The sequence below is a fragment of the Homo sapiens genome, chromosome X, assembly GCF_000001405.40.
Source record: "Homo sapiens chromosome X, GRCh38.p14 Primary Assembly".
In the NCBI taxonomy this organism is placed as follows: domain Eukaryota; kingdom Metazoa; phylum Chordata; class Mammalia; order Primates; family Hominidae; genus Homo; species Homo sapiens.
The window spans coordinates 89,698,167-89,708,424 of record NC_000023.11 but is presented as its reverse complement, the minus strand read 5'-3'; the positions used below and the strand labels follow the sequence as shown (position 1 = coordinate 89,708,424).

General features: G+C 34.6%; 2 annotated features.

The window, feature by feature from the left end:
* Window positions 547–1,295: an enhancer, noted in NCBI's record as "OCT4-NANOG-H3K27ac hESC enhancer chrX:88962129-88962877 (GRCh37/hg19 assembly coordinates)". NCBI's record gives its function as "activates a minimal SCP1, AML or CMV promoter by ChIP-STARR-seq in primed H9 embryonic stem cells {active_cell/tissue: H9 hESC(primed)}" and the evidence as "EXISTENCE:reporter gene assay evidence [ECO:0000049][PMID:30033119]".
* Window positions 1,296–2,046: an enhancer, noted in NCBI's record as "NANOG-H3K27ac hESC enhancer chrX:88961378-88962128 (GRCh37/hg19 assembly coordinates)". NCBI's record gives its function as "activates a minimal SCP1, AML or CMV promoter by ChIP-STARR-seq in naive H9 embryonic stem cells {active_cell/tissue: H9 hESC(naive)}" and the evidence as "EXISTENCE:reporter gene assay evidence [ECO:0000049][PMID:30033119]".

The following is a 10,258-nucleotide window of genomic DNA, read 5'->3' as shown; positions in this document are numbered from 1 at the left end:
GCCCCATTTCATAATTTTTAAAAAATGTTTCCTCGATTTTTTTGTTTATCAACAAATTTAAGCATATTTAGTTTTTCTATGCCATATAAAAATAATATGCCAAATTATATAAACTTAAGCTTATATTTGATAATTAATGTTTCAGTATTTTAACTTACCTAGAAATGTCTCAGTCATCAAATATTTATCTATCACTTCATTTAACATAACAATAATTCAAGATATCAAATTACTAAAATATTTTTGAAACTGTAAAAACTTCATTTATAAACTTATATCTCATTTAATTTGTTCCTAATATTTATGATTGAATAGTTCGTTAAACTAAGCTAGCCATCACCTCGTTAATTTTTTATTTACCATTTTTATATTACTGCATGTTAAGCAAATATAGCAGCAAAAAATCATAAAGTTGAATGCATTTTTTGTTCATAACAGAATAAATTATTGTTTTTGTTAAGTTGAAAATATTAAACTACTCTTACCAAAGATTTACACAAGTCATGCAAATTAAATGGCATTTGAGGAGTTAGTTTCTATTTTTCTGATAAAATATTTGACTTAGGCACTTACTTTTTTTAAGCCAATTATTTAGAGCTCTTTCACATGTTTTGGTAGTGAAATGTCGCCTATAAACATATAGACATAGAGACACACAGACAGAAGCAGATTTTATAGCTTCACAAAGTTTTTCCTTTGCTGGTTTTCAAATAGTTTCTCTCATTCCTTCAGACTATCAAGCCCTAAATAATTGTTAGCCAGGCAACAGTAAATTTGCTCTTCCAAAAGACATGACTCAGGCAAAATTTACATCCCAAAGGCAAATAACTTAGATGTAAACAGCATTATTTGCTGAGAGAAAGAATGAAATAGGTACAGGCTGAGTCAAGACAAAATTGCAGGAAAGTATCTTGAACAAAGGTAAGGTTTGTTATGTAAACTTAGAGCCAATATATTCATCATGCAGAAAGAGAGATGTTCTTACAAATGAAGATCTCCTTTATACCTGTAAAGTTCTTTTACAAAGGGATTTCAAAATAGCCAGCTAAATGCCAGAAAGATGTACTTTTTATACTAATTGTCTTCAGTGGGTGGTCTTGCCAACTTAGCTTCTATTTCTTATCTAAAATTATTGAGTCCGGAGTGGAGCTCATTATGGAAGCAGGCAAATAATTTTTTTATGCCTAGTGTCATCATAGATAGCTCTGAAAAAGAAGTAAGCCTACCTTATCTGAAGGCTTACCTTTTATAAATACTTTATTCCACTTTTCTTTTTTTAAAGCCAAAGGTATCCTTTGGTGGAGTGACCCACCAAAACCAGTGAGCCTTAACCAAATTTATAACTTAACCAAGAATTAACTAGATATCTCCAAAGACGTGTAAAGCAATCCTTACAAGATCCAGAATTACTCCAGAGACAGCTCAAAGAAAGAAAAGTCTTGCTAGTCATAAATGGAATACAACCCACATTTCTATCTGGCCAGATTTTCTAGGATATCAGCTTCTCAGCTGAGCACTTACACATGAAGGCCCCAAAGCTCCATGTGCCCCACATATGAAAAGACAGAAAATCGAAAGCTGTCCATGGAAGGGAAAAGGTTCAGTAACAAATAGGTGCCTAAAAGGTGTGGAGTCATACAAATAATTTAAGACAAATGAGACTGATTCCCTAATGAGGGACTGAAAACAGTTCACAGTGATGAAAGCTCAGAATCCTAACCACTAGACCACAGGACAGAGTGCTTTTTGCAGATCCTGTATGGGATCCAAAGCAGGCACTTTGAGTATTTAAAGAATTTTAACTTGTTTCAGATCTGATCTCAACTGCTGCTTAGCTAATTCCCTGGATATTACCATTTCAAAGACTTCATAAGATTCACATCTCCAAGGGACCACAAAATAAACCAGGGCATTGAAAGGATTCATCTGCTGTTCCATCAATATATCATCAGTGTTGTTCATCATTTCTGGTTTAGAAATAATTTGTTGGATCTGTATTTTTATAATCTTAGGTTCATTTTCATTCTGTAGTTGTTCTGTTTATTCCCACTGTTCCAAATTTAAAAACATTGTCCCCCTTTTGAGTAAAGGAAATGTGTGCATAGTGGAATTCCAAAAATCTCTGCCTAAAAGATGTATGGGAACTGAAGAAATAAGCAGAAAGGGATGAGTTCAGAGCTCCAGGCTAAAGAAAACGAGCAGTTGGAGGTGACAGGGAGAAAGCCTTCAGTGTTTACTTTTTTAATTTAAAAAATAGTTTTAGACAATATTTTGTTTTCTTCCTTCAAAGAAATGACTTTATCAGAACCTCTTTTACAGGCTTCTAAGTACTATTGAAAAATATCTCTTCAAGTTCTTTTAGTTTACTTTGGAGCTGTCTGTTTCTCATTGAGCACACAGATAAACAAATTTAGGTATTTTAAAGTTACCCTATTCTGGCTACCTGTTTTTAAAGGTACTCCATTTCGGGGTCTTCATGCATTAAGTAAGACCATTTTTCTAGATATCAACAGGAAATGGTGCCATAAGTATTTTACATAAATTCAGTTGGAGTGTCTAAAGGTGGATTTCTCCTTGAGGATAAAGACTTGGCCTTATAGGTATGATTGCTCATAATTTAGATTATTACCTAGTGTGAAGAATTTTGATCATTCAAGAAAGTTTCAAATTGTCAATTTAATCAAGCCTCAGAATCTGGTCAGTTTTAAAGATTACATATATGTTGCTTAAGCTACAAAAATTTCACTTTTTCTTTTCAAAGAGAAACCATTTTCTTCTTGACTGAACTTCTACTGAGAGAAATAGATTGCAAACTTTAATAAGTAAGATAAACAAAATCTTAACCTCAGAGGAAAATGAAAATCACAAATCTGCAGGCAGCAGACTCTATAGAGAATAACAAATAATTCTCCTTCCTTAAAAGCAAAGCTTCAATTCCAGCTCTGGGGAGTGTGATTCAGGTCACTTGAATAAGGCCCAAATTCCAAGCCAAAATTAGGGAGATTTGAAACCCAAGAAGAGTCTTGACAGAGACCCCTGCCAGCTCTGGTGAGGTTGGGTGAACAAAAGCCATATGCGCTGGTATCAAGGCACCAGTTGTCTGCAAAATGGTAGGAATCTTGGAGACTTGCTTCAGGTTCCTTCTGAGTTACCAAAATGTCAACCTAAAATAATCGAAATGGTCAGAATCTAGTTTAAAGAGAGTTTATGCAAGCACAAAGTTTGAGGATGATCTACCTAAGAAGTACAGATTCCAAAAAAATGGAAATCAGTGTTTCAAAGAGCAAAAGTTTGGGATTGCTTATATAAACAAAGTTTAGGGAAGTTTAACAGAATTTCAACATATTTCTATGTAAGGCATAACACATAGTTTCAATAATCTGATTAGTCAAGGTGGTCTTTTTCTTTCAGAGAGACATATTGAACATTTTACACCAAAGATGTAACAGTTATTGGGTCTTGGGTATCATCTAGTCTGAGTCAAGTACAGGACCAAAAAGGAGACAGTTAATCTATAACAAACATTATAGCTTGTTAATGTTAATGTTTGAATCACTTTCCATTGGAAAGTGGGAAGGTCTGGTCTTTGGTCTCTCCTAGTCATTTATGGAACAAAAACAATGAGGAAGAGGGTTATCTATCACTTAAGAAGCAGAATTGCAAAAGTGATATATGATTCTATCACTAGGGCTTAACTTCTCCCTTAGCATTATAAATTCAGAGGGTCCTGAAATTTTATTTTCTTTTACACATATTATGTATTCTCAACTGTGCCTATATATTAATATTTTAGTAACAATAAAATAGTGCCTAATTCTCATTGTCAATTAGAAAACATATAAAGTATGTAATCTAAGTTGTAAGAATATGCATTTTTATGTAGGGCCCAATGAAGCTATCTTTATTTTGAATGAAAAAATGCAAATAAACATGTTTAAATTCCTTAACTTACCCTCATGTGGAAATTATTGCTCACCAATTTGCTGTATAGGAAGCCAATGCCTAGATACTAATGTATACTATTAGGACTCTGAGATATGCAGGAAATTCCAAATGATTAACATATTTGGCCTCAAGGTCTTGGCAGCTGAGGCAAAGGGTGAAACAGGTTAATTTTCATTTAGCCATTTAAAGTTCGCAAAACAACTACAAAGTGCAGGTAAGTATAAAAGAGTTTACTGAGGCTCATGCCTGTAATCCCAACACTTTGGGAGGCCAAGGTGGGAGAACTGCTTGAGGGCAGGAGTTTGAGACCAGCCTGGTCAATACAGCAAGATATCCCCTATCTACAAAAAATAAAATATTTAAAAAAAGAGTAGGCAAGTGTGGTGGCGTGTGCTTGTATCCCAGCATCTCAGAAGGCAGAGGTAGGAGAATACCATGAACCCAGGAGTTTGAGGCTGCAGTGAGCTGTGACTGTACCACTATACTCCAGTCTGGGTGAGACAGCAAGACCCTGTCTCCAAAAAAAAGAGTTTACTTAGCATTTTGCTTTCAGTAACTACTTCAAAATATTTTAAAAATGAATGAATGAATGCATACTTGAAGGAATGATATACTCAACAAAAGAGATCTAAAACCAGCCCTCACAGTGTTTAACTGAAAGACTGTGCTATATGTATTATAACAAGCCAGGCTTTTAAATAGGCACTAAAAAAGAACAAACCCAAATACCTGGTAGCGTACAAGAAGATACAGAACCTCATTAGTAATGAGGGTCAGGTTAAATGAAACTACAATGAAGAAAGTATACATAGCTATTTTGACAAAAAAGAAACGTCATTACAAAATTATAGCAGGGACATGAAACAACAAGAACTCTCATATTCTGATGGTAGATTAAATTGATTAAACTTATATGGACTATGATTACTTTAATTAGAAATGTTGATGTTGTTTATCAAACTCAAGCATCTGCCTAAACCATCTTAGCAATTTCACTGCTAGTTGCAAGCAGAGAGAAGTCTTGACTATGTGCACAAGGAAGCTTATATAAGTACATTCATGGAATCAATGTTTATAATGGCAAAAACTTTAAACAACCCAAGTACCTATCAACAATAGAACATGTAATTATGTTGTGGTCATACAATGAAATAAATCATAGGAGTGAAAAAGAGAAAATGGTATTCCTTTACCCTTGAACATGGATGTTTTTCACAAACATAACTTTGAGCAGAAGTGAATCACGGAGTAATGTATATGGAATAGCTAAACTTTACAATAGCTAAACTTTGCACATTGTAAAGTCCAAAGCCACAGAAAACCTAACAATATAGTTGTCTTTTTTTTTTTTTAATACGGAGTTTTGCTCTGTCGCCCAGGCTGGAGTGCAATGGCGCGATCTTGGCTCACTGCAAGCTCCGCCTACGGGGATCACGCCATTCTCCTACCTCAGCCTCCAGAGTAGCTGGGACTACAGGTGCCCGCGACCACGCCCGGCTAATTTTTGTGTGTGTTTTTAGTAGAGACGGGGTTTCACCATGTTAGCCAGGATGGTCTCGATCTCCTGACCTCGTGATCTGCCCGCCTCGGCCTCCCAAAGTGCTGGGATTACAGGCGTGAGCCACCGCGCCCAGCCAACAATATAGTTTTCAAATGTGAATATGTATATGATAAAACCACAAATAAAAGTAAGAGAATGATTAATCAAGATAGAAGTTATATCTGAGGGAGGGGAATATATTCATTGAGGGCTATGCAGGTTATTGTTACATGAGTGTTTATTTTATAATTACTATTTATTAGTTAAACTACAAAAATATTTTATACTCTCTTATATAAAAATAAAATTAATGGAACAGTAGTGTAATGAGTTTTAGTATTGTACCATTTAGCCATCAGATTCATTTATTTGGGTTTAGGAGAGAGAGATGAGATTCTCTCTCCAGAATGAAGAGCTAAGAAGCAAACCTGGTAGGAAATCATATAATGGTGATGATCATGACGATGATGATCATGATGTTGCTAGATATCAGATGATAAGTAGTATTTATCGAGCACTTACCATGCCCTGGCACCCTAATTAAAGTGTATTATATCATTTAATCTCCAAAGAAAAGTATGTGTTAAGTACTATTATCATCCCCATTTTAGAAATGACTAAATGTAAGCAAGGAGAGGTTAAGCCAATTGTTTATGGTTGCACAGCCAGCTTCTACAGTCCAAATTCCAACTAAGACAAGCTCCAGAGTCTGTACCCTTAGCCCACTAAGAAGATAACAGGGGACATGAAAGGTTATGGAATAATAAAGGGACCAGTAAATTGAAGGTGGACTTCAGAAAAAGAAAACAAAGCAATTTCCCACTGGATTGAAAAACAGAATGAGGATTAGGGAATTCCATCTTAAATGAATGAAGCTCTAGAGAAAAAAGGAAATCTAGGCGTAACACAGAAATAAAGATAGTGAATCTCATTAGATAGGCACAAATCATTTTATCAGATGCTCAAAATGTATGTGAACTACTCCTTAACTTAGTTTCAAAAAGCAAGGTCCAAAGACTGCCTATACCCAAATTTTCAGGAAATTTGTTAAGTGTAGATTCCTGGACCTCACCCTTAGTATGAAGTACCAAATCAGAATCCCTGGATGTATGTTTATGAAATAAATTTTAAAATAAATTCCACACATGTTTTATACACAGTCAAATGATACTGCCACTGCCCTAATCTGGCTTTGTGTCACAGTATTCCCAAGTAAACATCCAAAAATATGTGAGATTACTTTTAAGAAAACACAAAAAAAGTAATAGCAAGACAACTAATTTTTCAAGTCTAGTATTATTTATTGGTGTATGTTGCCAAACAATGCTTTCTTTATGAAGGCATATAGGGACTGCCTAGCTAGAAATAGGAATTACTTCTTTAAGCCAAAAAATAATTTTGTTGAAAAAAGAAATGTTTCATTAGGGAAAGAAAGTATCAAGATGGGGCTTCATGTCTTCACACAACTAAGCAATTGAACATTTCTTTCCATGCTGTAAAAGAAAAATGCACAAAGGTAGATGTAGATACTGGATCATCCAGTCTCAGTGTTCTAGCAGTATTCTAGCCAGCTGCTAAGACAGGTGTCTGTGAATTAACAAGCAATTTATTGAATTAAGGTCCTTACCTGATAATGTTTTCCTTAGAAGAAAGCACCTTTTTCTTCCCTGGTAGGGCAAGCTGCTATGAAAATGATGACTATCAATCTACTTTTTATTGCTATTGTTGTTAAGCATATAAAACTTTTGACCTTTGACAAAATACAGAGGCTTCATCAGATCTATATATAAGAAAATGATAGAATCAATTGTTCTATTGACTTATCTTTCTTGCCTTTAGTGTCATTTCAATATATTGATTAATACAACAGAGCTATATTGCCTAGGTTTGGATCTTGGCTTAGCCATTTATTACCTGTGTGACTGTTGGCACATTATACTTCATTACCTCCATTTCCTCAACTTTAACATGGGGGTAATTTATTTTATAGGGTTGTTGTTAAGAGTTCTTAATACATGTTAAGGGCTCAATAAAATATTTTAACTTTTCAGATATTTCAGTCATAAACGTATTCCTTTAGGCCAACACATTAGCCCCACATTTAACTAGAGTAGTTGAGATATAGAGGGTATTAAAAATACACCTGCCCCCAAATTTCTTCTCCATCATCTTACATCACTCTAAGAAATTTCCAACATTTGTCATTCCTTGCTTTCAATTTGGAAATGAGGTTATTTTTTTCCCTTCTTTATTGTTTTTTACTTTTATTTTAGGTTCAGGGGTACAAGCGCCTCTTTGTTACATAGGTAAACATGTTTAATCTGATTAAAACGTCATTTTCCCTTTTCTAAAATGGGGAAAATATAAGTTAGTTAACATGTTCATAGAATGCAGAGCCCTGAGTCAATTAGGTACACAAACATGAAATTTGACTTGGAGTCAAATAGACTTTCAATTATATACCAGAAGAAGTTAATGATGACCCACAATTACCACCACCCAAAAAACACACACACACACAACCACTAGAAGCACACAGAAATGCTGGATGAAATATGATCATTTAAAAAAATATGTATAGCAGATTTAAAAGAAAGGAAGGAGAAATTGAAAAATAAAAGAAGGGATAGGGGAAAGAAGAAGAAAGGGGGAAAGGAAGAAGAAAGGGGAGAGGGAGTGGAGAAGGGAAAGAAAAGAGAAAATGAAAGAGGAAAGAAGGGGAAAGGAAAGCAGGAACGGAGAAGGTAATAGGAATGAAGAAGTATTAATAACAAAGTGAGAATGGTAAGCTAAAACCAAAGGAATGTTAGCCCTTCACTCTATAAAACCTACCTACAGACAATAGAACAGTCAGCTAGGATTTTTTTTCTTTCTTTTTTTTTTTTTGTTTTAGACAGGGTATCACTCTGTCACCCAAGCTGTAGTGGAGTGCTGTGATCATGGTTCACTGCAAACTCTGCCTGCGCTCAAGCGATCCTCCTAGCTCAGTCTCCTGAATAGCTGGGACTATAGGCACACATCACCATGCTCAGCTAACTTTTTGTATGTTTTTGTAGAGATGGGGTTTCACGATATTCCCCAGGTTGGTCTCAAACTCCCGGGCTGAAGCGATTCTCCTGCCTTGGTCTCCCAAAGTGCTGGAATTATAGACTTTGGCCACTGCGCCAAGCCAGAATTTTATGGCTTAGGGAGATACATCAATTTTGGGTCCCCACTCAGGTGAGGTAGATTGTTATAAAGCTGGAAGCCTCAAAATCCAGTCCTATCTGTAAAGGAGACACTAATAAATGAATAAATAAACAAACAAATAAACAAAAGACTTGAGGAAGTGGTAAGAAAGATTGCTTTCTAACCAAGAATGTGAATTGGGAAATGAAAGTTCAGCCATATTAAATCAAAACCCCAAGCCTAGATGATAAGAAGAATTATTGGGTTGAAAATTGTCTCTTCCCATGTAATATAGGGCCTCAGACAGAAAAAAATAATGAAAGAATTCTTCTAGGACAGATCAAACACCTTGGATTCCAGAAAAATAAGAAAAGGTGATACAACAAGCTCTAAATATGAGCTTTACAGATTTCACAGGTTTGCCTAAAGCTATACCTGCCCAAAAGAAAAAAGACGAGAATTTTTCCTTGGGAAGTGTCCCTGAGTTTTTAAATGTGAATTTCTGCCATGCTATGACATGGTCTCCTAAAGAAGATGGTGCTAATTTAGCCTGAATTGAATAAAACAACGATATTCAATGATTTTCAACCCACATAAAGGGCATTAACATAAAAATCTCTGAATAATCTGTCATATTATATAAAAATAACTGTATCATTACTGCTTCTTTTACTATTTATAAAGCCCACCTTTGCTACCTAAATTTTCAAGTTTAAAACATTCAGAAATAATGGTGTGCAAAATAGTATGAACTATTTTCTTCTTTTAAATATTGATGTTTATTTTACCTTAAATGTCACAGTTAATGTCTCCATTGTTTTTTCAAACAGTTATAATTTTTATCTTCTTTGTTTGAACTAGATAAAGAAGAAAGACAGGAAATATCAGGCAGGTAGAGATGCTAATTTTTCCCCTTATTTAAACAAATAGAATACAGTTAGAACATTTATTCAAATATGTCCAGATTGGTACAATTGGAACATCAAAAAAAATGAAACAGCAGTTGGACAGATGCATGAAAAATTAAGCCATGCCCATAATGAGTGTAACTTGCACAATTCTAGTCATTTCCTGAAATGCCATTGCTTTTTAAAATGTGTTTCCTTGATGCATTTTTAAATATGTATTACACAAAATTTCTTTTGGAAGAATTCACATAGAGCATGGTAGGAAATAAAGGCTGAAGTGATATGCAATAAAAGTACAAACAAAAATGACACTTATTTGCAATTATTATCTTATGTTATTAGTGCTAACAACTAGGCCTGAAGTTAACAGAGCATGATGTGGTTCATGATTTCTTTGTGCTCTGATGGAAGCTAAGAAAGCCCAGCATTCTGGGAAGCCAAATCATTAAACCGTATAAATAAACAACAATTAATGGTACTTTAAAATAAATGATATGGATGTTTATATCTCTGCTTTCTAATTTTTAGACATAGAGTGGAGTGTAATTTAGTGTAATTGCCACAAGATAACAAGGCATATTAGTTTGGTATTGTCACTTACTAACTACCTATGCAACTTTAGGCAAGCCATCTAAACTTTTAAGCCTTTGTGCTGTTTTGTTTTGTTTTTTGGTAAATGCAAATAATATATCTACCT